Raw genomic sequence first — 27,226 nt, forward strand, 5'->3', positions numbered from 1 at the left:
GCTGGCAAATTGTTTGAGCTATCCGTGATGTTTCTGGCCCTTATTTGCAAAGTTGGAGGAAATCCTGGCAGAGAGAACATAAAATGACATTGGGATGCTGATAATGAGCTCTATGCAGGTAGGGAGATTTGTCAGGGATCTGGCCTGGTGCATGTTGGGCTTCAGATGCCTGGATTGGACTGACAGATCCAGTTGGAATCTGCTTACTTCTTAGAAATAACCAGGCTTCTAAGAGTAGCTAGGAGCTCCCTATGGGATGTGCCAGTTTCAATGGCAAAAGCCACTTTTAGCACAGGGCTGTGACCATTCTTAAGATCTCCTCTTGAGAGGACACTGAGTTGCCTGACATGGCCCCCAAAAAGGGCTGCCAGATAAAATATAGAACACCCAGTTAAATGTGAATTTCAGATGAACAACTTATACTAACATACATATATACTAAAGAATTATTTGTTTTTCATCTGAAATTCAAATTTAACTGGGTTTCCTTTTTCTGTTTGTTTGTTTTCTAAAACTGCCAACCCTTTTCCTAAGACAAGGAAACTTCTGACAGGGCAGGATTCAGCTGCACCACCGCTGTGGGGAGGGATGAAACCTGCAGGCAGGAGGGGAGGGGAAGGGAGGAGCATAAAACATGGGCTGAGAAACAGTGGACTTTTTCCGTCAAAAGGAAAGCCATAATGTATATCCTAGTGAAGATGGCAAAACTGAGAAAAGATTTCAGATTTGGGTCAGCATCCAAGGGAGACCTAATTTGAAAAGAGCAGGAACAGGGTGTGTGTGGGTGTGTGTGTGTGTGTGTGTGTGTGTGTGTGTGTGTGTCTGTGTGTGTGTGTCTGTCTGTGTGGGCAGGCACATGTGTCTGTTCATGTTTGTGTCTTTGGAACTTACGGGTAGCAGTGGTGCTTAGGATCAGCAGCAGACAGAATGACTAAGGTGGGAAAGTTGTTAAATGAGAAGAACAGGTGACAAACAGGAGTACAGTCTTGTGAAGAGTTAATTCCTAAGTACAGGGCAGGCTGCTGTATAAGTCTAGGCTCCCCATGGGTGCCTGAGCTCCCCAGATGCCCAAGAGACCTGAGCAGAAAGGGGCCAGATGGACAGACAGACTGCCCACTTCAGAATGCGGCTGCACATGTGATTCAGGGGGTTGTAATTATTTCTCAATACCAAGGGTTCTCTTTGGCTATAGGGTTTCAACCCTACGGCTCGGATCGGCAACAGACTACTTCTAAATTCCAGAGTCTAGTGAAGGGGGAGAGCTCTAACTCTCCAGCTCCACTGGGGTCCAGTTTCTTACAGAATGGGGTAGCAGAGAGGAGGCTGGATAGCCTGAAGATATCCTATAACTGGGACAACTGGAATGGCGCTTGTTGGTTCTTAAGTTGGCTAGAACTGCCTCCTGGAAGATCATATACATCTTCCAACGTGCACCTCTCCCCGCAGTGTCTGGCTGCAGCAGGGTTAGGATCTATCACTGTGTTCCTTTCTCTCTTTCCTTGGCTTCCTATCCTTCCTATCCAGTTGCATCTGTTCACTGTTTTCCCATGAGCAACTCCTCCTTGCTTGCTGCCATGCCCGACTTCCTCTCATCACCTTACCTTTGGCTTACTGCTTTTCCCCTTGTTCACTCAATCTCTGAATACTTCTCTATATTTTCCTCTATCCTAAATATTGGAATAATAAAATTACAAAGATAACGAACAATCCCTATTTCTTAAAAAAAAAGAAATCAAAATGAGTACAGTTGTTTGTTGTAGGAGCAGGCTTCCCTGAGTGCCCCTGCAGTGGCACAGCCTTCCTGGTGAGGCTGCCTTGCAGCCTGTGAGAGATGGATGGATGGTAGAGTGGGGTCAAGTCTGGGCTGTGCTGACAGTTAAGTGTGGGCCTCCAGCCAGTTAACTTCCATTCCTTCATTTTAAAAATGAAGACAATCATTCCTTCTTAACAGGACTGTTGAGAGGATTAAATAAGATGTGTATTTACACATTAAATATATACTTAAAGTGCTTTGGAAACTGAGCAGCATGTTCCAAATGTAAGAGGTATTATTACCTAAAAGACAAAAATATCTTATACCTAATTTTACTCTATAGCAAACAGTGTTAAGTGATTACATATTATGGTGCTGAGAAACGGTATAACTATTTCTCTTTATAAATGTTACCCCCTCCAATATCCAGATTTGTGGCTCTTCCAACATGCTTAATAACAGGAAGTGGTGAACCCTCCATGAGGTTTTTGGACCAATTTAAAATGCAGTGACTGGGCACAGTGGCTCACACCTGTAGTCCTATGAGGCGGGAGAATTGCTTGAGCCTGAGAGGCAGAGGCTGCAGTGAGCCAAGATCATGTCACTGCATGCCAGTCTGGGCAACAGAGTGAGACCCTGTCTCAAAAAAGAATCATATATAAAATATAAAATGAAATGCAGTGCTGCTGGATAGAAGATTTAAAAGAATTTTTTAAAATCATAGTTTATCATAAACCTTCAAATGTTACAGATTACCATTTTTGGAAAAAAAGATTTTTATACAGCACAACAAAACAAAAACAGAACCCCTATTATGAAGTTGTAAGAGTTGCGTGTTCTTTTTCTTGGGCATAGGATCATAGAGAACTTCTGTCAGCAGGCGTTTGGGAGATGTGTAAGTTAATAACCATGTTTGCTAGGAAAACAGGAGAGAGGGCTAATTAGCACAGGGAGCCTGGCTCTGGTGAAGGATGACATGTTTGGTGTATGCAGGGTGGCAGCTGAAAGTTACTAATACTGCCACATACCCCCACTGTGCTTCTGTTACCCCAGTTCTCCCAGAGTCATGATGAAAATAATAACACCACACAGCACTTTACAGTCTATAAAGTGCCTGGCTATGTATGCATTACACACATCACCTCATTATATCCTCTTTTAAAGCCTGTAAGATCAGTTTTACTCCTGCAACTCAATTTCATAGAAGAGGAAACTGAGGTCAGAGTTGAAGATCTTGCCCAAGGTCACACAACTGTTGAGTCCAGAGCTAAATCTCAATGTGGGGTCTTGGTTCCAAATTCCACACTAGTTCAACACACCCAGCTCACACCATGCAGGCACACTGAGGATGCAGGGATCTGATATGATCTTCACATGTAGAGTGCAGAAAGGTATTACAGAAAAAGCTGGGGATCGGCAGACCCAACTTCCTGCCTTGGCTCTGCCCCTGAAGAGCTGTGTGCCCAAAGGTGTGTCTCCTCAGCACTTTGGGCCTCAGTCTTCTCATCTGATGAGTGAGAAGGTTGGAGTAGCTCAGTCATTCTCAGCTCTTTTTAGGGTCTTAAATAGTTGGCAACCACTTGAAATTCAGCTATAGACTCTTCCTTCAGAAAAATGCACACATGATACACACATACACAAGTGATCTCACTAAGGATTTTTTTTTTTTTTGAGACAGAATTTTGCTCTCATCACCCAGGCTGGAGTGCAATGGCGTGATCTTGACTCACTGCAACCTCCGCCTCCCGGGTTCAAGCGATTCTCCTGCCTCAGCCTCCAGAGTAGCTGAGATTACAGGTGCCCGCCACCATGCCTGGCTAATTTTTGTATTTTCAGTAGAGACGGGGTTTCACCATCTTGGCCAGGCTGGTCTCAAACTCCTGACCTCAAGTGATCTACCCACTTTGGCCTCCCAAAGTGCTGGGATTACAAGTGTGAGCCACAGCGCCAAGCCTCACTAAGAATTTTAATACATTCATGGATCCCAGTAAGACTAGATGGCTTGGGCTAGTTGATTTTTAAGGTCTGCTTATACTCTAAAATTCTATCATACATCCTCTTTCTGCAAGCATATTAATTTATATCTGCTTATAGTCTCATATGTATGTATACACTTAAGTAGTAGGACACTATTTACATTTGTAACAGAAACAATTTATGTTTTGGGAAATCAAAAGAAAAGTTTTACTGGGCTAAGGTCTGAAGTGTGGCTTTAGAAGTAGAGGATAGTGTGTCTAGAACAGTGCTGTTTAGTACTCACAAATAACAATTAATTTAAAAATGATGCTGGGCGCGATGGCTCACACCTGTAATCCCAGCACCTTGGGAGGCTGAGACAAGCAGATCACCTGAGGTCAGAAGTTCAAGACCAGCCTGGCCAACATGGCGAAAACCCATCTCTACTAAAAATACAAAAATTAGCCAGGTTAGGTGGCAGGGGCCTGTAATCCCAGCTATTCAGGAGGCTGAGGCAGGAGAATTGCTTGATTTGTAACCGGGAGGCGGAGGTTGCGGTGAGCCGAGATGTAGTCATTGCTCCCCAGCCTGGGCAACAAGAGCGAAAATCCGTCTCAAAACAACAACAACAACAAAAAGAATTTATTATAAGCATGAATTTCATTTGTCTCCTGTTTATGCAATGACTAAAAGTGGTATGTTATTAGGAATAGTCACTGATGGTGACACAGAAATAGAAGTTGGACATTTCTTGTCTGAGAAATAATACCTTAAAATGGGTTAATTTAATCCAATTAGTTTTCAGATAGAAATTATTTAATTACTAATGACTTCTGGCTTGTCAGGTTTTGCTGGGTTTTCTCATAGTCTAACCCCAATTTAGCTAATCAAGACCCTCTTTTTAAAAATGCCACTTTGCAATGATTTCAGAAACAGAAATAATTAAACACTTGAGTTACCCAAGAATAACCTTAATAAGAAATGAATAGAAACTACAAGAAGAAAATTAGAGAATCTTTAAAAAAGACTTGAGTGAATGGAGATATAGTTCTTATTCCTGAATGAAGAGACTGCATATTGTGAAGAAGTCAACTCTTCCCAGACCATTCTATAGATTTAATATAATTCAAATCAGCATTGCAGAGGGATTCATTTAGGAATTTAATAAATTTTTTATAGTTATTCTGGAAAAATAAACTGGGAGGAGAAGCTAAGGAAGCTAAAGAAGGCAATATGAGATGTTAGAACCTACTGTAAAACCAGAATAATGGAATACTATGCGAGCGGTGGAAAAACCAATAGTTCAATGCAAGAGAAATGATAGTCCAGAAGGAGATCTTAAGAATTCATTATCTGTTAAAAATATGGGGAAAGGAAAGATTATGAAATAGACAAGAATAAGGGGGGATATCTGAAGTTAGATTTGCACCTTGCAACTATACCAAAATACATTTCTGAAGAGCATATAATTAAATGTAAAAAATGAACTCCAAAAACATTTTTAAAAGTCAGTATTTCATGATTTTGGTATAAAGTCTTTCTAAGTATAAAATAATTAGAAGTTACAAGGGAAGAGGTTAATAGTTTTCATTGCATAAATTTTTAAACTGTACATTAAAAACCCTTAAAAATTAACAAGCAGATTAAAAGCTAGGACAAAATATTGGCATAAATGCAAATTTATAATATGTAAGTTTTTTAGAAAAAGAAATATATATCCTATTTTTGAAAAATGGGCAACAGACATGAATAGAGACAGTTTATGAATGAAAAATATAATTTAGCCAATAATTCTTAACAGATGTTCAGTCTCACTAATGATCATACAAATGCAAATTAAAAGAACAAAATATATTTTTTCACTATTATATTGGAAAAAAATTAAAATAACAATTCCTAAAGCTGGATAAGATGTGGTAAGGGAGCTCATTCAGTAGGCAAGCATAAATTGATAAGATCTTTCTGGAAACCAATTATACAACACACGTCAAGATCCTAGTTAATAACTTCCAACCCAGAAATTGCTCTTTTAAGAATCTACACTATGAAAACAGTCAGAAATTCCACTGAAGATAGATTTAAAAGGATGTTCGTAAACAACAAAAGGTAAACAACTAAAATGTTCAACAATAGGTGACAGATTAAATTTTAAATAATTTATGGGAAAATTATGCAGGCATTAAAAATCAGGTTTTATAAAGAATGTTAAATGACCAAAAACCTCAATAATATAGGTGAACAAAGTAGGATACAAAACCAAATGCTGTTGGATTTAATGCTGTCTAAATCAAGACATTATATTTGTCTCATATGCATAGAAATTAACTAGTATGCATCACTTCCAAATGATACAGAGAGATCATCTTGAATGGTAGGATTATGCATGATTTTAAAAACACATCAGGTGCATAGTTCTTTAAATTTCTAAAATAAACAGACTTTTTAGGCTTAAAATATTATGTAAAAAGGAATTTGTTAAAATTCACCACAATAATTTAAAGAGACAATATACGTTCAGTGGCAAACTAAATTAGCTGTGTCATCACCTGGCTTCTATTCCAGTTTCTGCCACTTGTTGGCTCTATGACCCTAAATAAGCCATTTATCGTTCTCTAAACTTTGGTTTCTTCAGCTTAAAAATAACAACTGACAAGACTTGCCATTCGGAAAGCTGCTTTGCAAACTGTAAAGTATCATATGCATATACGCTATTATTTTGTGTGTGTGTGTGTGTGTATGTCTGAGTTTAGAACTCCAACCTAAGTGGACCTTATAGATTAAAGCAAAAATCTACTAACCCATACCTGAAAGCCTCGATTCGGAATTACCTTAAACCCTGCACTTGTTTAGCCATATGCAGGAGCCATCTTTGGTTCAGTACACCTACACATGCCGGCCTGTTAACAACTGGCTTGGTAGCCAAGAGAGGAATGACAAATTACATCCAAGGCTATGCGTGGGGCAGATGGGAGAAAGATCAAACCAAGGATGGCCTGAGCTCAGACTCCATAGGATACCTCAAGGGAGCATACACGTACCCTAAAACAGTCCGTGCCTCAGTGGCAGAAGAGCCTTGTGGTGGAAAACACACTGCTTTTACACGTGAGCTACACTGGGAGGAACACAGTTCTTTGCCAACCCTTGTTTGCTCTCCTTTTGAAGTTAGATCACTGGTGTCAAATAAGTTGGGAAAGAAATAAAGAAGGTTGACTTTATTATTAGCTTGACAAAGCTAATAGCCCATACATGATACACTCCAATTGTTAGCTTGACAAAGCCTATAGCCCATACATGATACACTCCAAATTTGATATATTTTCTTATCAAACAAAACAAAATGACAGTGAATTTTAGCTTAGCAAGTTGCATGTTCAACAGCAGCACTGATTCATAGCCAGGGCTGTTCTATAATCAGGACTGAAGAGTGGAGTGGGGAAAGGTACACTCCTCCATTCATATTCGGCTCTTCCTTCCCTTCACTTTCTCTTCTCTATCCACGGGCACAATGCTGAGAACAGCTATAACTTGCAGTGTGTGGAGAGGGATGAGGCATTCATCTGTCAGACAAGCTATCCAATTTTTCTGACTTTTCCAGCTATTTTCATAACATAACAGTGAGCTCAACTTATCCATCATTCATTCATCCATCTATCCATTCATGTATTCATTCATCCATCCATTCATTCTTCAAACAACTGTGTGTGCCTGGGGGAGCCCCCCACCAACATCACTGGTGGCCTCAATATTTTCAATGAACACACATCAGCCTACAAGTGAAGGGTGTATATCACCGGCCTGTGGCCAACCGCTGCAGGCACCATACCACTTCTAAGTCCTGTTATTTGATTATCACCAGCTTTATTGGCCACAGAGGGGAAGGGATATTATAGCTTTGTGGCTTTTCAGAGTTCGGTCCTTAGTGAACTGCCAAGCCTCAGCAGCAACTCCCAGATCACAGGATGGGGGATTTTTATGACCACATCTCAGTTCTCACCAGAAAAGGCAAAAAGGAGGAAGCAGGTGACACATTATAGGATACACAGCAATGGATAAGCCTAACAAAGCCAGTCACTGCCATTCCCCCTCTTACCTTTGTGTTCTCTCCCTCCCACATTTCCTGTCAACTCTCCCAACATCCCCTCCCAAACTGTACTCAGAATAATTTACACGGCCTCAATCTCAAAGAGAAGGAAACATAAGCTGTTTATGATATTCCGTATTATGCTTTCGAAAAATATACATGGCTCACTGAGCTTACCCCAGTGTGAGCAACTCCTCTCAGCGATCCCTGAGACAAGGGGTGTGCGTGTGGGTGAATGTACACATGTGTGAGACCAGCTAGTGGCAGTGGCACAGGGTGTGTTTGTGAGTGTGCATGTGTGTGTGTGTTTATGAGAGAGAGAAAGAAAGAATGTCGGTGTGTGACTCCCCCACTCACTCTTTGGAGCCTGAGAGGCTCTCCTTTCTCAGAGCAATTACTACAAATGATTTATGTGACCAGTCAAAAGGGCCTGCCAGGGTTCTTATTTCATCTCCAGAAAAAGGAACTCTGCTGGAATGTTATCAGGGAGCTTGGGATTAAACTGACAGCTGCCTTTTGTTTTCCCTGTGAAAGAGCTTCTCCTTTGGACTGTGGCATTTGGTTTCTACACAGACAGCCAGAACTTAAGGTAGGCAAAGACTAGCTAGACAAGGGCCACAAGAGAAGGGAAACATTTTTAAATGGGGAAGGAGAGGTTTCTTTCTTTCCTTCCCTTCTGTATTTATCTTGAGAGGATGTGCTCTTAGCTGCTGATTTTAGGAGGCAGCCTAGCTTATGCGGGATTGGAATATTGTTTATTTTTTCACTGTACAGAAGCAGCCACAGCACCACACCTCTACCCTCTGTTACCCATGCTTATTTTGCTAGAGAGAAAACAAAGGCCCCTTCCAACGTAGCTTATGGAGATGTGACCCTGGTCCCCACCCTCTGCTAGATTGTGCACCGGCACACGTCAGTCACGGGGCCTGGGGCGGGAAACAAGGCAGGATGGGAAACAGTCCATCGTAAGTACAGGCAGGAAAACTCTGTGGACCCAAAACCACGGAAACCATATGTGTTCTCACCCTCTGAGACCCAAACTCTAACAGAGCATTGTTGTTTTCATAAATACTCAGCTGCAGGCTTGGCTGGCCATAACCCACCCCACATGTGAGCCCCCACCTTCCTGACTCCCACCTGGTTTGCTGTGTGAAGAAAGCACAGGGGTGGTCAGTTGTTGGGCTGATTAAAGAAATACACATTTATACCTGCACGTACACACACACACACACACACACACACACACACACGGATGCTCCAGTGACTGCATAATAAAGCTTTGTAGATGAATAATGGTAAATACAAATTGAGGAACCTCTCAAGGGATCAAGAGAAGAGTTTAGTAAAGAGAGGTTGTGGGTGGATAGTTATAAAGGGAAGAGAAATAAAGAAAGACATGGACTGTAAAATCATCTTTATAGTCTTATATTCAGACATTCTAGCGAAAAATACATTTTTTTTGACTTGTGATTTCCAAATTTCATTTTTCCTAATGCTTTGCCAAGAGGTATCATGCAATATGTAAACCAAAATTGATTTTTTTTTTTTTTTTTTTTTTTTAGAGACAGGATCTGGCTCTGTCACCCAGGCTGGAGTGCAGTGGCCCCATCATAGCTCGCTGCAGCCTCAAACTCCTGGGCTCAAGTGATACTCTGGCCTCAGCCTCCTGAGTAGCTGGCACTATAGGCACACCACCACACCCAGCTAATTTTAAAATTTTTTTAGAGTCAGGGTCTAGCTATGTTGCCCAGGCTGATCTCAAATTTCTGGCCTCAAGTGATCCTCTCATCTCGGCCTCCCAAAGTGTTGGAATTACAGGCATGGGACATCATGCCTGGCCTAAAATTAATTTTTATCAATATATATCTGTACAGGTCTTCACAGCATATGATACTGTGGTGTGTTCAGAAATCAGAGCACAGAGGGATCTGTGAGTGATCACAGAAGGATCCCAGAGAAGGAAACTAACACTTATGGAGGGCACATTATGTGTCAGGTATATATCTTCTAAATATTTTCCCCTTTATTCTTCTCTACAACTCTATGTGGTAGGTTTTTTATTCTCACTTTATAGTTAGGGTTATAAAAATCAAGTGAATTTAAATAATTTGTTGCCTACTGTGGTAGACACCACTGGCTGCCTAGCTAATATTCCTTCTCTTCAGTAGAATCCTGATTGTACTTGAGGAGGGATTTTCCTGCCTCCCTTGCAGCTAGGGATGGCTGTGTAACACAGTTCCAGCCAATGAGATGTCTATAGAAGTATGCTGGGAATTTGTGACTGGCCCTGCCCTTTTCTTCTGTTGTTTTCTTCATTTTCCTCTGGCCTGGAGCACAGACGTAAGGCCAGCAGTGAAGATGTCATTCTGTGACCTTGAGATAACAAGCATGAGGATAAAAGCCATGCATTGGGTAGGAAGACAGAAGGAGATATGAAATAACTGACATTGTGCATCAGTTACATTTCCTCTCATCTGCCTGTGTCTGGCTTCTTATTACATGAGGAAAATGAAACTTTTTAAAACTTACGCCACTGTTATAGAGTGCTTCTAACATATAAACAAAGCAATCTGAACTGATACCCTATTACAGGGCAGAGCTGGAATTTGAACCTAAATTTAATTTACTAAGGGCCTCCATCATCCTGTGTTTCCAGAGTGCACACAGTCTAGAAAAGCCTTGGACAAGGGGGTGAGTGTGGGCTGGTCTCTTCAGCCCATGGCTTGAGTACTATTAGCTACTTAGGCTGCTCTGGAGTTACGGTCTGGATCTCAGGTCAGAATCCAGGGAATTGGTTGGTTCTGATCTGTGAATTTTAGACAACTTACTGGTGAACCAGGGAAACCTGACTTAGGTTTCCTGGGATAGTTCTAGAATCACATTGCATTTCTTAATTCTGAGGCAGACCCGTATTACTATGGCAGCTCCAAGTGGAAATATTCCAGAATGAAGGACTTGCCAAGTAACCTGACAATTTTATTTTGATGCACATAGATGGTAAAGGTATTTCTTAGACATAAAGGGTCAGATCATAGATTGCAGTTAAACATTGAGGACTGAATACATGTTTATCTCCATTTCTTTTCTACTTTACTTCTCACACTCCACAAAAATGACAAAAGACAGAATTTTCTGAAAAGCAAAACTCTACATATTAAGTGTCAGAGAGGAGACAAAAACATATATGAAGTGTTAACATAATTTTGGGAACTAGAAAGTGGATGAATGTGTGGTAACTAATTCAGTAGAGCAGGAAAAGCTGAAATTAAAACGTTCAGTGGGGGAAAGCCAAGGAGAAGTTAGCTAATGTATGTTAATAATCTTAAAGAGGTGCCAGGCATGGTGGCTCACACCTATAATCCTAACATTTTGGGAAGCTGAGGAGGGAGGATCACCAGGAGTTAGAGACCAGCCTGGCAACAGAGCTAGACCCTGTCTCTACAAAAAATTACAAAACTAGCTGGGTGTGGTGGCATGCACCTGTAGTCCTAGCTACTCAGAAGGCTGAGGCAAGAAGATCACTTGAGCCCAGGTCAAAGCTGTAGTGAGCTATGGTTGTGCTACTGCACTCTATCCACCAGAGCAAGACTCTGTCTCAAAAAAAAGAAAATCTTAAAGAGTCTAGGAATTGGAGGCACTAGGTACCTCTGATGATGAAGGTGCACATGGGGCTAAAACACAGTACGATTAGCTGAAATTCTGTATTAGAAGTCGTAGACCCTGAGACCTTCTCCCTCATCCCTCATTCCGTGCATAGTACATGGCCATCCTACTTTTCCCTCTCCACCCTAAAAGGGTTGGTGGTTTTACTCTTTGAAAAAGTAGAAACAGAGAGTTCTGGCACAAGGACACAAAGCGCAGTTGAAGTTGGGAGTGCTGTAATAGAAATGGGAATTAAGTGGAAATCTACAATTCAGTGGTCGGATAATCTTACCTCACTCCAAACCTGTCTGGCACTTGGCTTCAAGAACACTGGCAGCCACTGGCAGCCAGTCTTACAACTTCTAGACAGAAGCCCAGTAGACTCCTATCTAGGGAAATTAACCAGCCTATGAGGAATGACTAACAGATCTTGGATTCCCCACAGCTGGGTTTCAGGCCAATCACTGCCGCTTGAGAGTCCTTATGAAAACACAGGGCTCCAAGTTAGGCTGTTAGTATCTTACTCTTCACAATGAAGGTACAGGTAAAGATTGCCACACATTTAAGGAAAGCCTCTAATATAAAATGCAGACTCCGAATAAATAAATACAGAGAAGAGAGAAAGTAGAAAATAAAAGCAACAGAACATTTAAAAAATCTCTAATATATTCTCAGAAATGTAAAAAAAAAAAAAAAAGGGGAGAACCTATGAGTTAAGAATAGGATGGCATAAAAATAAACATTTAGAAAATTAAAATAAAACTCTTATAAATTAGAAATATAGTAATAGGAATAATATTAAAGGGTGGGAAGGTTAGGTTAAAAACATCTTTCAAAAATAGAACAAAAGTAAAAAATATGAAAAATAGAAAAGAAAAAGATAAGAAAATAGGGATTCAGTCCAAAAGGTACAAGATCCAAATAACAGGAGTTACAGAAACGAGAAGAAAAAATAGAGTAGAGAACATCATAAAATTATCAATGAAATCATAAAAGAAACTTTCACAGAACTGAAGGACATGAACTTTCAGGTTGAAAGGCCCAGAAAATTCCCTGAACAATGGGTGCAAAAAGGGCCACAGCAGGGAACACCACTGTGAAATTTCAGAAAGCTAAAAATAAAAGAGATCCTAAATGTTTCCAAAAGTGGGAATTAGAATGGCAGTGGACTTTTTGGTGGCAACCTTGGAAGCAAGAAGAAAATGCATGAAGCGCTTCAAAATTCCTCCTGAAAGTTATTTACAGCCTAGAATCCTCTATTTGGTCAGACATGTGAACAGAATAAAGCTATTTTCATACATGCAAGGCCCCAAATTTTACTTCTCATGTACCCTTTCTCAGGCAGTGATCAGAGAATACATTCCACTGAAATGGGGACTAAACCAAGCCAGAGAAGACTTGGAATCCATGAACTGGGTCCCCACAGGATCAAGGTGAAGCAAAGGCTCGGGGTGCCGGCTCTGCAGCCATCCAGACAGGGGCCAAAGGATGCAGGACTCCAGAAGGAAGGATCCCAGAAAGAAAAAGAAATGGATTGATTACCTGATGTTTGCAAATGTATTGAGAGAAGATTCACCCTTCTGATGAAGACTCTGTGAATGATTTCAGGACAGGACCACAAAAAACTGAGCAAGGAAATAAGGAAACAGAGCCAGTAACTGCAGAAAAAGCAAAAGTGGCAACAGAAATGTCATCAAAGCCCAACATGCAGCTAGCTACAGTACACAAACACAAACACACACACACACACACACACACACACACAGAATGATGATTTCACCAAAAGTTGTGATATATCAATAAGTAGGAAGATGGAAGAAGAGGAAGCGTATCTGAGAGGCAGAAAGAGAACTGTGGGTAGGTCTCCCTGTTCCATGGTAGAAAGTCGATAAGTAGTATCTAAAACATAATAATCAAGAGATAACTGCAGAAACACGTTATTTAGAAGTACAGATTCATACTAGAAGAAGTAGCTAAAAATTTGTAAAGCTTTGGAGAGCAGAAATCAGGATGGCGATGATGCTTCCTATCATATAAGGCTTATGCCTTACAGAACTCTGTGATCTCAAGTTATGTAACTACTAGCTGGCTAAAGATACTGACTAAAAAACAAAACAGCCAACTAGTTATCCCTGAACACCTAATCAGACTGAAGGTGACTCGAGTGTGTTTAATTCCCTCAGGCTTTGGAAGCCATCCCGAGAGGGTTTCCTGTCACGGGGGACGATTTCAAAACTCCCAGCACTGCTTCCCACAGATCTGTGCCCAAGCTTCTCTTGATTTGTGGCTGCTGTGTAGATATGAACGAACTGTAATGAACTGTGTGGTTCAGATACTTTTTGGTACAGCTACGATAGCTGAAAGGTGGGTAACACCCTCCCCCCACCACCAAGACTTGGTAGGCAATGCTGATAATGTAGTTTCTGGGGCACACAGTGGCTGGGAGTTTTCTGGGGACCTTCCAAATCCTACCTGCATCTGAGCTTTGTGACCCTCCCTTTGGATTCTTGCCAAAATAGTCCAGCAACTGCTCTTCCTTCCCACACCCAGTAAAGAGCGTAGGGCTGGAGGAACCTGGGCAACGGAAGACAAAGGGAATTTTCTACAGAGAGTTTTATATGCTATTTCCATGGCTGTGCTATAGAAATGAAAGAGTATCATTAGGGTTTAGAGTCTAATGAGGCAGCATTAGATAGGCCAAGGAAAAGTCACTCTATGTAAAATATAATTATCTGGAGAAGAAAAGTGAGTGTACTTGGATTTAGACCACATGAGAGCCAAAACCTAATTTTGATGAGAAACTAAAATTCTGGCTATGCAAAAGGCAGACTAGGAAGCTAGAAAGCCCGACTTATGAATAAAAGACAAATAGGTCTGTTCTGGAACTTGGTGTCCACTTAGTATCCATAACATGGATGGTTTGTAAATTCAGGAATAAGGGAAGGTAAGATCCTGAAGTGTACTGTGCTTGCTAAAAGAAACTGTTTTCAGGAATGAATCATTTCTCTTACAACAGGTAAATATGGCCTGCTGAATAATAATAGCCCACATTCATTCAGAGCTTATTATGTGCTAGGCACTTTAAAGTGCTTTATAAATACTAGCTTATTTAATCCTTAAAACAATTTTATGAGATATGGACTATGACATTTGCGTGAGAGGTAAAAGTTTCTATTTTATAAAAGAAAAGACACAAAGAAATTAAGTAATTTGCTCAAGATTACAGATAATAACTGGCAGAAAGGAATTCAAATCTGGGCTCCAAAAGCCCAGGTTCTTAATAGATCTATCTCCATCAATTATAAAATTAATACAATGATCAGTATGCAGAGGCCTAGGCAGAATAAGATATTCTGCATTCATGGTGCATTTTTTAAAGGTACTACTACTACTACTTTGTGTTTAGTATATACTTCAGATTCCAGTTCAGGTTTCCAGAACTCAACTGGGACAAAGTTAAAAGTTTTAGTTCAAAACTGAAGTTTCCTCTGAAGACGAGTTTCAGAAATCAGATCCTGGCTCCCTGCCTTGCCTACAATTCATCTTAGACCTCAGGAGATAAACACCAGCTTGAGCAGTAACACAGCAACAATACGGACGACGATGAGCATAATAAATAATACTTCTAACGCTTGAACCCTTGTGCTACCAGGAAAAAAAATAAAACACTCATTGTGTCGAATGGTAGAAATATCACATCTGTGCATATATTCACCCCAGCTCCAATATAATTCTAAGACTGCCAAGCTCTGAGACCTAGAAATGGTGAGTCAGTCAGGAGGGGAGGAAGAGAGGGGAGTGCGAAGATAAAAATAGAGATGTTGATTGCATTGTTACTAATTCAGTTTAGCTCCAACAGCCCAGCGTGGTGAGTCAACAGCAGTGACAAGACACAAAGAAGAAAGAAGCACCGTGCTCTGAGGGGCTGAGCGGAGGGGATGCAGACGGTCACATCAGTAACTTCATGCCAAAATGAAACCCGCAGCATCGAGGCTGTGGTGTGAGTTCAAAAACAAACAAGTGAAAGTGCCGAGGGATAAAATGGGCTGAAATCGATGAGCAGCAGTGCGGCCGACCCTCTGGTAAAAAGCTGCCTTTTGTAAGAATCCCCTGATTGTGGGGGATGGGGCCTGCAGATCGTGAGCTTAGAGGCCAACTTACACCATTCGAACAGAGTATTGTTTTCTCTGGGGTATAAGGCTTACTGTGATTCCAGACGTGTCGCCATGGCAGCGGTGGGGGAGGGAGAGAGGAAAGGAGGAACAGACGGGGGTCACCAAGGTCCTAATTCTCATGCAAGGGCCCCCACGGCTCAGCCCTGTCTCCCTGAGAAGTCCAGTGTTGTGCTGCATCTTCTTTCAAGACACCACTGATGTCAATCCAGTTCAATTTAATAGATCTCGAGTGCCTACTAAGTGTAGGTCTTTCACTTCTAATTAACATTAGCATCTGTTAAAATACCTAACCTCTGCTTGGTTCTAGAAAACTAAAAGGGAGAAAAAGACCTAGATTCCACGCTCTCAACATTTATCTTGTCCTATTCCCAGACTGTGTGGCTATACAGGTTAAAGATACATAGCCACACGGAGGGAATATAATGAATGGATGTATGTGAATGTGCTAGTCATTCCTAAATGCTAACTTTATATTACAATTAGAAAGAATGAGAGTCCTTTTGCATTCTTAGAGTCTACTGTGATGGTCTTCCTCCTTCTAGTTTGTCGCCTGTGTACAACACAGGCTAGGTGCTAGGCGACCCTTCTGAAACATACCTCTGCCATGATGTCACTCTGACTACCTTCAATGGTGATCCAACACCATTAGCTTGGAAATCAAGATCTGCCATAGCTGGTTCTGATCCTATCTACCAGTCTTCCTCTTCTGTTGTTCAAATGCTTCTATGTACTTAGAAGGGTGTAATAGGTAGAGTGAATGGATGGATGGATGGATGAATCATAAAACAGACAAACAAACATCAAAAAACTCACTTCCATCTCCATTTGTTGGCTCAGGGGTCACCATATCTCCCCTTCGAGAATAATTTTTTTTCCGTGGCTTTCATCCATGCAAATTCTGCCAGGGTCTAGGTTATACCTCAAAATCCATATGATCCAAATGAAACCCATGACCTCCACCTTCTGTATGTCAGTGACTGGGACCACTGTCGTCAATCTGGTTTCATAAGCCAGAAACCTAGGTTCCATCCCCATTTCCAAATATTGCCAAAGCCCTTTCACTGTCACCTCCTCCATATATATCACCTCCCTCTGTTTACATGTCCTATCCCTCCATTCAGTGATTTTTCAGATCAGAGGACTGAAGTCACCTCCAAATGAATCTCTTCACATCTACTCCCCTCCATCAGTTTTCTATGCCGGGTTAGGGGGATGCTTTAAAATGATCCTATCACACTCCTCCTTGAAACTCTTCAGTGACTTTCCACAGCTCTCAGGAGAGTGGGCAGAATCTTACCACCAACGCTGAAGCCATCTGACCAGTATGTCTTCCAGCTTTGCCCCACCCCACTTTCCTCTGGCTCTCTGCACTGGCCTCCTGGCAGCTCCACCTGCTCACTGTGTTCCTCCCAGCCTTGGGGACTCACTTACTGCTTCTTGTAGTTATGACTTCTTGTAGCTGGAATGCTCTGCCTCAGCACCATCCCCAGCTCATCTCATCTGCTGGTATAGTGGTTTTCAAACTTGAGGGTCTATCACAATTGCCTGGTGGGTTTGTTAAAATGCCACAATACTGGGCACCACTCCTGAGAATTTCTGATACTGTAGGCCTGAGGTGGGACCTGATCATTTACAATTCTAACAAGTCCCCAGGTGATGCTGATCCTGCTAGTCCTAGAACCACGCTTGGAGAATCACTGCCCCGGCTACCGTCTATTGGTTTTCCGGATCTCTGAGAAACCTTCCTTGACTGGCACCTCCCTCACTAGGCTAGCTTAGACATGCTCATGGCTGTCTACACATTTCCTTCACAGCACCTGTCCTCATCATGGGCTGTAATTATGTATCTGTGTGATTATTTCATTAATGTCTGTTTTTGTGGTTAAACTCCTGTGCCTGTGGTTAGGCAGCATCTCTGTTTTCTGTCCCCAGTGTTTACTAAGTACTTTGCCACATAGTGTGTGCTCATAAATATTTGCTAAAGCAGGACTAATCTCTTCCATGAGATTTTTTCTAACTAATTGAGGTCATATCACAATTCCTTCCTACTCATGACTATTTTACTTAGGAGAAGTCCATCCTCCTAAGAGCTGATACATTTTAGAGGTTCCCCAGGAATAGGAAAATCATCAAACACTACAGAATACCAATGAGAGTTGGAGAAAAATTGTCATTGTCAGAACGAAGGAAGTTGTTACAAAAGACACTAGTGCCTGCTATGAGGCCCACTTCCTTGTGTTGGGATGATCAAATGGGATATTATATGGAAAGAACTTAGTGTAATACCTAGAATGAAGCAAATACCCCAAAACATTCACTACTATTATGGATTACAGTAGCCTTTGCAACCTGGGTCTTGTAGTATCAGTTCAATTTCAAATATTCTGTCCCAAGGTCATATTTCTTCATATATTTTGTCTAGAAAATCTGGTTGTACATATGGCCTGTATCAAACATTTTAATATTCATACAGCATATTATACTTGACTAAATGCGGCAAACACTTATTAAGTGCCTATTGTATGAACTCATTTGGCTGGCATCAGAGGCGCACGCAAATGAATAATGATCCGATAGGGGAGAGAAACAAACAGCCAGCAAAAATGTAAGGCCGAATAAAATAAGCATGAAATGAAGGCAGGTATAAAACCTACAGGTATGGAAAAGGATGGATAATTTCTGGCTGAAGTGGTATTTGATTGGGCCTGGAGCGGGGAGAGTGATCTTGACAAGCAAAGAAAAGCAGCAGAGCATTTCAGGCCAGTCCAGGAGGAGGGAGCTTAATGGGCTGAGGTTCTGGCTCCCTGAAGTGTGTGGCTCACTCAAGAGAAAGAGAAAGAACAGTGTTCCTGCAGTGATGAGAGACATGGTGAGACAGAGAGGAAGCTGAAAGGTATTTGGAATCAGATTATATATAATCTTGAATATAATGCTAAGAGGCTAGTATTTTGTTCCATAGGTAGCATGGCTCCAATTGTATCCCCTGCATGAAGCTGCTTCGATATCTTATTTTTTTTCTCAGATTTGGCTTAGGGAAGAAGACAGGTGTGATGTCTACAATCATTTGATTGGCTAGATTTGCAAGGCTGGCCTTCAGCTCACTTTTAACTTCTTCTTGGGTATTTTTTTCCAATTGGACTATACTGCCACCCGATAAGTGGTCACACGTAGTTATCACTATTTTCTAAACGCCCAAGTGTTCTCAGAGATATGATTATGAAAACAAGATTAGCAAAAATAGCTAAGTATAAATTGGTAGCTTCTTAACAAATGCTTGACTCAGATTTCTCTCCAATCTAATCCTACCCAGATCTGAAGACTTTCTTTAACTGACCATGAGTGTTGATATTTTACACTTTATGACAAAAGTCCTTCCAGGACATACATGGTTCTCATTTATAGCTGTTTTCCCATGTGTTGAAGAACACACTAATTTTCTTCCGCTCTGATTCCCGTAGTATTAAGATAGTATTTTGATGACTTGGGCTTTCTCATTCAGGCAATGGTGCTGTACTCAGCACTCCAATACCCTACCTCTCTCTCCAATTTCCACCTGTAGTATAAAAAAGAAATTGCCTCCCTTATCCATATGACTGCCACTAGACAGGATGGTGGATATGAGACATCTTCCATGTTGGCTGTGCAAATCTCTAATGTGCCATTTCTCTGATCAGATAAAGGTTTGTCAATTGACCAACCTGTGTCAATATCATGGTAGTGAAGCAACTGTGACCCGAATGTCATAGATATCTCTGCTTTTCTCTGAAAGAGTCTGCTTTTAAAGAAATATGAAATTACAAAAACATCACCTTTTATCAGAATATAACTTCTGGTTAAATTCGTTTTAAGGTCAAGAAGAAAAATAAAGAGAAACATGAAGTATTTAATAGTTTCAAGGCTGATATTTAACTATCCTATCACTCATTTCACTGGGGACTTAGGCTGATGAAAGTGTTTCTTCAATTGCCAACATTTTCTCTAGGTTGTTTCCTAAAATCTTTAAGAAAGATTAGTTATGGAAACTAATCTTTAGTTTACGGGAATGAAGACTTATTCTTCATTTAGATTCAGACTTAGTTGTAGGAACAAATACTTATTCTTCATTTCACTAAACCAAAAATCCAACCTCAAGTTATTTACATTCTCACTTGTTGAAAATATTGGGATCGTATGTAGTTTTATATTCTATCTTTTTCACTTATTACAGCGTGGACATTTCCCTATGTTATCAAAAACTCTTCTAAAATACTTCAATAGCCATGAAATATTCTTTCAGTTGAATATACCATAATGTACTTAACCAGTTCTCTACTTTTGGTCATAAAGGTCTTTTTTTTTCCAATTTTTCACCACTATAGATAATGCTAGAGTAAACATCCTTATACATATATTTTTGATCACATCTCTAATTATGTTCTTAGGAAAACATTTCTTTAAGTAGAATCAGTAGGTCAAGGAGTAGGACCACCTTTGAGGAGCTCTCCACATACTGCTAAATTGTTCTATATCCATTTTTCATGTGTTCCATAGTAATTTCTCAAGTATCTGGTGACACAGTTTGAAATTTGCTATGAGAAAAACCATTGCCAAATTGATCGGAAGCAGTAACTTCTATTATCTAAGTAAATCTATTGTTATCACAATGGGATGGATTATTTTTCTGTCTGTATGGAGCCGATCACTAAGTTTCCATTCAAATTAATTAGATGAACTGTCTGTTACAAGGTTGTGAAACATATGTATTAGGCCAGGGGTCCCCAATCCCCGGATCATGGACTGCTACCAGTCCGTGGCCTGTTAGGAACCAGGTGGCACAGTAGGAGGTGAGTGGCGGGAGAGTGAGCATTACCCCCTAAGCTCCGCCTCCTGTCAGATCAGCAGTGGCATTAGATTCTCATAGCAGCACAAACCCTACTGTGAACTGTACATGTGAGGGATCTAGGTTGCATGCTCCTTATGAGAATCTAATGCCTAATGATCTGAGGTGGAAGAGCTTCATCCTGAAACCATCCCCCCGGCCGACCCCTGGTCTGTGGAAAAATTGTCGTCTAGGAAACTGGTCCCTGGTGCCAAAAAGGTTGGGGACCACTGTATTAGGCAGCAAGCTAACCTAAGTAAGCAAGGCCCTGCTGTGGGGCACACCTTTCTACCACACTCCACCTGAAGAACAGAAGAGGCTGAGAGCAGGAGAACACCAGGGAAGCTGGCCTAGGCTTCCTGGCCACTGGCCACTTCCAAGTTCAAAATCTGACTGTGGCATGGTAGCTGAGTAACTGATAACAACAAAATGTGCCAGGCCAATTTTTATCATTTACATAATGTGGACAATAGTGCCCATATTCAAAAGATGTGTGAGGGTTAAGTGAGATAAAATGCTTATCCCAGTACTATACTATTCACAACTATGTGAATTGTAGGCATCCAAGAACTACTTACTTTTTTAAATGATTATTTCCATGCTCACAACTGCCTATGGAGTTCAGTATTTGGAGAGCTGATAAAACCAGAAGCAAACCATCTATTTGGGACCAGTTTTTAAATTTTGCACAGCTTTCTTAGCTCTTTCTGTTGGTAAAGCAATTGGAAGTCAGGATAATCATCATCACCATCATCATCACCATTACTACCATCATGAGCATCAGGATCAACATTATCACCATCATCACAATCACCATCATCATCACCATCATGATCATCAGGATCAACATCATCACCATCACCATTATCATCATCAGGATCATCATTATCATTATCACCATCACCACCACCACCACCACCACCACCACCACCACCACCACCACCACCATCATCATCATCATTGCTATCATTGTGGCAAATATGGGAGTAGAGGCCATGGAGACAATGGCTCAGTGACTGGGCTGCTGCTGGGAGCTGTACCTCCTGTTCTGTGATTAATGCTGAGTTTCTGGGGTAAGTTCTGGGTATCAGGCCTCCTGAAATCCGCACTGTACCCCTCTGGGCAACAGGTTTGGTAGAGGAAGAATCAGGCCTCGTGCTTTTGAGTCTTAAGAGTCCCCTTATTGGCGCTAGACATACCAGCAGGGCTTTTATGCCAGGGTAAGTGTTCTCATACTTAAGAACAGCATCTGCTCCATCAGAATTGGAGCTTCCTTTGAATGCATTCCTTCCTTTGAGTGACCACAAACAAAAAGAAAGCAGCTGCAGAGGTACACACAAACATCAAGATGTTAGCAGGATGGCTGCCTGCACTGGGCAGAACAGGCTCACTTCAGGAATCAGCTCCACATCTCGAACCCTAATCAGGGAGGAAGACAGGAATCCCAATTTCAGTTCCAGTTAATGAATGGGAGAGAAGAATCAGAATTCTGTTTTCTTTTTCCACCAAATTGATGACATCGTTTTTACCATGCTACATGAAGCACAGCCCTGATTCTGAAGAGCAGAAGAAATAGTTTGCGTGGTATCTCTCCCTAAAGTGCTCCAAAACCAGGCAGGGGCCTGGGGGTATTTATCTTGATCCTTCCTATTCAGCTGAAATTGTAGAACACATGACAGGAGGAAAAAAACACATAGCTTTAAGATGAATGAAATAGACCAAATATATTGGACATTGTGTGGCTTTGTCTTTGGAATATCACTGAGTGTTAAATAACTCATACTGCTGGCTTCTTCCTTCTTAGAAAATCAGTAAATGATTCCTCATTATGCAAGTCAGTCAGATTTTATTATTACCTTAAGATTCTATGAATACGACCACTGTCAGGAATAGATAAGTTTCACACAGAAGGTTACGTGATGGACCACTGACAAAGGCAGAAAGAAACCCAGAACTCCAGCTGAGAACCCTGAACTGAATTGGGACTGCAGAGGCCAGCCCTCCACCTCAAAGGCAGGACCTACAACCATCCTTGCCCACCCTCCAACCCTGAGCTCTTTCATAAAGACACACATACAGAGTACCACTGGCTGTGGCAGCCAGGGCTGGAGCAACAAAGGCCATGAACTGTGACTGCTGCCTGTGTCACTTCTCTTGTGGGTCTGCAGCTTCTGTGTGTCTGCATGTGCGTGTTGGCATTCCTGGTCCTTGGTGTTTGCATGTGGGCTCTGCTCTGGGCAGGAGGCAGCAGAACAAGGGTGGAATTAAATTAGACACATCAGCAGCGTCTAAGCCTAGTGCCCTGGATCATCATTCCGCCTTCCCTCACCCCGCTCTGCTTTTTCTTTGTTCCATAGCACTTATAACTGTCTAACATACTATGTAATTTACACTCATTCATGATGCTTAATGTCTGCTAGAACGTAAGCTGCACAAGGGCAGAGTTCCTATTCTTTTTTATCCGCTCACAGATTTAAGTGCCTAGAGCAGTGGCTGGCACACAGCAGGCACTCTATAAATATTTGTTTAATAAATGAATGTTTATCAGCCATTCTAATTTAGATTCTAGTTAAGCAATTGATAGGTCTGCAGGCCAAGACCTGTTCACGTGTTTGAAATATTTACCCTCACCCCAACCCTTCAGGCTCAAAGCTGCTCCTGGTCTCTACGAAGCAGCTGGCTGTCCACAAAGCAATCACTACCACTTGGTAAAATTGAGGAGGAAGTAAAATATATACTGAAGCAGAAATTCTGGGGGTTCAGTAGCCTGGGTTGTTTTCTCTTAACATCTGATGACCATCGACACCCCACCCCCAGCTTGGAATTTATTTCAGAAGGAAATAAGCCAGGGTATGGTTCTGATCTATGATTCGAGAATATTCAAGGTTTTTGTTATACCTGCAAGTCGCTTATATTGCCACTAACTGCAATCAGAAAAGATCCTACCTTAAATGCCTTTCTATCCTCAGAATGCCGCACGCATTTGTTTTCAGTAAATGTTTGAGAATGATCTTGAAAGTGTGCAAGAGAACAGAGAATAAAAATAGAATCAAACCCAAGCTGGGCATCTCTCAGCGTCTCCCAGTTGCTGAGAGGTAATAATTAGGGTAACTATATAATTTTTCACCCAAGCCAGGACAACTGGCATAAACTGGGACTGTCTTGGGACGATTATACAGATGGCTCTCTTAGGTATAATCAACTTCCATCATATTAGAAGATGGGAAAGGACTAGCAAAGATTAGTGCCTCTGACATGTTAAAAGCTCTGTGGTTTGCATTCAAGGGTCACAGATGTTGATCAAAATATTCATATTGCCAATTTGCACTAATTTCAGTAGTTTGTAAGTATCAAGCAAGACTGTTCAATAAATGACCTAGCAAATTAATCTATTTTCCCCCATTAGTTTCTGACTTTTTAGCATGACAATATCAGACACCCTGTTAAAGAAAAGGCCCTTCAAGCTGTGTAACTGACGTGTTCGGATTCCTCCTTGGAGACGCATCTGTCTACTTACCACCCCCGCCCCAGCCCATATACCCCCTCCATCCCAACCAGGCCTCTATTTTTCAGTTCTTGCAGTACCATCAGAATAAGTAAAAAAGGACCCTGATTTTCCAGAGGGACCATGCAGTCTGAAAAGGTACGTCTTCAACATCATTAGCAGTTCATCTTCTAAAACCTCAGGGCAGCCCCTAGGCAGCCCCTCCTGCAGCACCCCGCCCCCTTCCACCGCCACCCCTCTCTTTTGGTGTCGGCTTATCAAATTAATGAAGCCTATCTAGACGGGAGGAAGTTGGGGTAGAAGACAGTGGCTTCAGAGCAATTCAATGCAAGCCCTTCCCTCTTAAAAAAAAGAATAATGGGAAAAAAATTAGAATTTCTTTCTCTTAGAATAGGAAGAGGAAAGGGAAACGGTATTGGGGGTGGGGTGAGGGGTGGCTGTGATTGTCTCCTAGTTCCCTGAAGGAGGAGATGTCTATTTACTTTCTCTGGCTGAACATTTGCATGTTAAAAAGGCACAGTGCCTTTGTGGGCAGGATTTATCAGGGCCACATTTTCTACTTGATAGAGCAGAGTGCTGGATAAGGACTCCAGGTAAAGGATAAAGCAACTTCCTACGACCTTCCCTCTCATCTTTTTATAAGATAGTCCCGTCTATCATGCAGAGAATCTGGGAGGCCAGATTCCGTGGCCATGTGTGTTTTTGCAGCACGTTGGTGGGTGGCAGGAGGCAGAGCCTACCCTCGGCCGCAGGCAGCCATGAGCTGGGTGGTAGCTTCCTCCTGCAAGGCACGGAGCACAGGCCAGTGCCATTAGAGCCTCCCCATTCCCCTGTATCCAGAGAGGCAATTTGCAGCGCGAGGTACAAAACACATCAACATCTCTCATCACGTCACTGACCTAAATATAGACAATGACTTCAAGGAAGAGAAGAAGGAAAAAAAAAAAAAAGTTGCACGTTCTTTTATACCTGCAAATGCTGCCGAGCTCTTCAAACAAGCACTGGCAATGAGGAACAATAGATAACCAGTCAGATGTGAAGGGAGAAGAGAGGAGGCATGGGTGTTCTGGGATGATTGCTGTGATAAGGCCATTATAGTTTCTCAGTGGAACATCAATCCTCATTTGTAACCCGGGGTCGGGATATCACTTTGGGAGCAGTTTCGTGTTTCTTGTCGGCTTTTCCATGGGAGCCCTGTGGGAGGAAGGGGGTATCTGTCGTGGATCTTCTGGCTAAGCTGGGCTGGCCTCTTCACTGGCTAGGATGGGTCTCTGATTCACAGAAGCTTTTTCCTTCGCACGTGAGAAGATTGTGCTCTCGGTGTCTTTGTTACTGAGCAGCCTCCCCTGGCATCCATTTGAGCCATCCTGACCCCGGGCCCCACCTCAGCATCCCAGGTCAATGTCCCTTCTACCCTGGAAAGCGGACATGGGCTGGCTCGCTTGTGTATGCCACAAGGAGTATCAGTGAAGGGTAGTTTTCCCTCACAGTGTGAATTCAGAGTTGGGTCAAGCCTTTTAAAGCTGTGTTCATAAGAGTGCTTACCTTCTTATTAACTTGGGGATTATTCACCTGCTGGGTGAACAGAAGGGCCATATTAGAAGCTTTTATGAACACGAATCGCATAACTAGGGACCTTGGGAAAGACACCTGAACAAAACATGGGTAGTATGGATAGACTGGTGGCGTCAGCAATTAGGACACAATTGTGGACAATCAATTGCTGAGGAATTGTCACATGGCTCTCACATATTTCGAATGCTCTTCCTGTTCCCTCAGACAACTATCTGCATACGAACAGCCTGCGCAGAGGCTCCCTGAGTGTAACATAATTGCCTGCTAGGGAACCAGCAAGCCACTTCAGATTTAAGCTGTCCAGAACTCCATCATTTAGGCTGAGACACAAACCCATGCTCTTTTGTGTTAGCAAAACATCCACAAATGTGGTTTGTTGCTTCAGAGAACACAGACTCGACCCTTGCAGACACATACGGCACCATCACACAAAGATCCCTCTCCCTTTGGAAAAAGAATGGAAAATAATCAAAAGAACGCCACTCTCATACAAGATAGGGAAACTAAACGCGCCACTGCAAATGAAATAAAATAAGAAACAATGGAAGAATCACAACAAGAGTTGAGGACAAAAAGAAAGTAAGCCAGAAGTTCTAGGTAAAAATGAGTAACGACCATTCAGAAAAGGATCTGGCTAAAGCAGGGCTGTGAGTGCCCAAGGTTAATACAGAGTCTGATGTGCATGATAGGAGCGTCTTGGTGGCTTCCCTGGCACAGTGACCTCTGGCACTTACTGTTCTTCTGGAAAGTGAGGTGAAATCAGAACATAGAAAATAGGGAGGTGTATGTATTCAGAAATAAAGACACCCAAAGAGTGACAGAAAAAACGGCATTGGATTTCAAATACCAGTTTAAGACGACCACAACCAGAACAGGAATCTAGCTGCTCTATGATGTGTAATAGGAACAGTTCTCAGCAATGCCATTCACCAACAAAGACTGACTGCTGAGGGTTTCTGAAAAGGAGCTGTGGACTGGGTTAAGGTGAAGATGCTAAAAGATCCTGACACAGTAACAGGAATGTCTTTTTAGAACCTGTGCTTCTATTGCATTCCAGCTTCTCTATGCAGATTCCTGGAAACACAGTCTCTGGGATAGGTGAATGCAATTAAAAATTACAAAGGACTAGGGGGGAAAAAACAGAAAATAATTTGGTCAAGAAGAAATATGCCCAGAGTCAATTTTTTTCCAATCCAATATCTTTGTTAATTAAGCATTTTTCCAACCTATGATGAGAATACTAATAGTAATCTAATACTATACTACTCATTACTAATAAAACATATTTATGAAGTGGAAATATAATGTGCCTATTTCCAAAATGTGGTTATAAATGACTTACTCTAAGCCACGATTTAAAATGGTTTGAGAAATGAGTCTTTAATAAAGAATTGATGAGGATGATGACTGCTGATAATAATTCTATTTGGTAAGATGATGTGGTTTGCTATGGCAATTTGAGCTGAGGTGATTGCCTCAAAAATTACTGCAAGTAACTACTATAAGGAAATTTAATTGGTGATAAATACAGTGATGGTGTGTCAACTCTTGAAAAAGTGAGGCTGTAACTGAAGAATCCAGCATCATTTCGTCTTCTGATTATATTCATAGTCATTACGGTGCTGCCAAGATGTTATTTGTCTGACACACTTGCACATAGTAGGGATTTAAAAGGTGAGTG

The 27,226-nt window shown here is 41.6% G+C and overlaps 1 protein-coding gene across 2 annotated transcripts in view, besides 5 other annotated features; it reads right to left on the minus strand.

The window, feature by feature from the left end:
- MAML3 (mastermind like transcriptional coactivator 3) overlaps positions 1–27,226 on the minus strand; it is a 437,432-nt gene that overhangs the window by 84,107 nt on the left and 326,099 nt on the right. The gene's annotated exons all lie outside the window — the stretch shown is intronic.
- Positions 14,894–15,463: an enhancer, noted in NCBI's record as "H3K27ac hESC enhancer chr4:140736907-140737476 (GRCh37/hg19 assembly coordinates)". NCBI's record gives its function as "activates a minimal SCP1, AML or CMV promoter by ChIP-STARR-seq in naive H9 embryonic stem cells {active_cell/tissue: H9 hESC(naive)}" and the evidence as "EXISTENCE:reporter gene assay evidence [ECO:0000049][PMID:30033119]".
- Positions 15,464–16,031: an enhancer, noted in NCBI's record as "H3K27ac hESC enhancer chr4:140737477-140738044 (GRCh37/hg19 assembly coordinates)". NCBI's record gives its function as "activates a minimal SCP1, AML or CMV promoter by ChIP-STARR-seq in naive H9 embryonic stem cells {active_cell/tissue: H9 hESC(naive)}" and the evidence as "EXISTENCE:reporter gene assay evidence [ECO:0000049][PMID:30033119]".
- Positions 24,156–24,697: an enhancer, noted in NCBI's record as "H3K4me1 hESC enhancer chr4:140746169-140746710 (GRCh37/hg19 assembly coordinates)". NCBI's record gives its function as "activates a minimal SCP1, AML or CMV promoter by ChIP-STARR-seq in naive H9 embryonic stem cells {active_cell/tissue: H9 hESC(naive)}" and the evidence as "EXISTENCE:reporter gene assay evidence [ECO:0000049][PMID:30033119]".
- Positions 24,316–24,610: a silencer, noted in NCBI's record as "tiled region #693; HepG2 Repressive non-DNase unmatched - State 21:Repr, and K562 Repressive non-DNase unmatched - State 21:Repr". NCBI's record gives its function as "represses a minimal TATA promoter and a strong SV40 promoter by Sharpr-MPRA in HepG2 and K562 cells {active_cell/tissue: HepG2 | K562}" and the evidence as "EXISTENCE:reporter gene assay evidence [ECO:0000049][PMID:27701403]".
- Positions 24,698–25,238: an enhancer, noted in NCBI's record as "H3K4me1 hESC enhancer chr4:140746711-140747251 (GRCh37/hg19 assembly coordinates)". NCBI's record gives its function as "activates a minimal SCP1, AML or CMV promoter by ChIP-STARR-seq in naive H9 embryonic stem cells {active_cell/tissue: H9 hESC(naive)}" and the evidence as "EXISTENCE:reporter gene assay evidence [ECO:0000049][PMID:30033119]".

This window comes from Homo sapiens, chromosome 4, assembly GCF_000001405.40.
Source record: "Homo sapiens chromosome 4, GRCh38.p14 Primary Assembly".
In the NCBI taxonomy this organism is placed as follows: domain Eukaryota; kingdom Metazoa; phylum Chordata; class Mammalia; order Primates; family Hominidae; genus Homo; species Homo sapiens.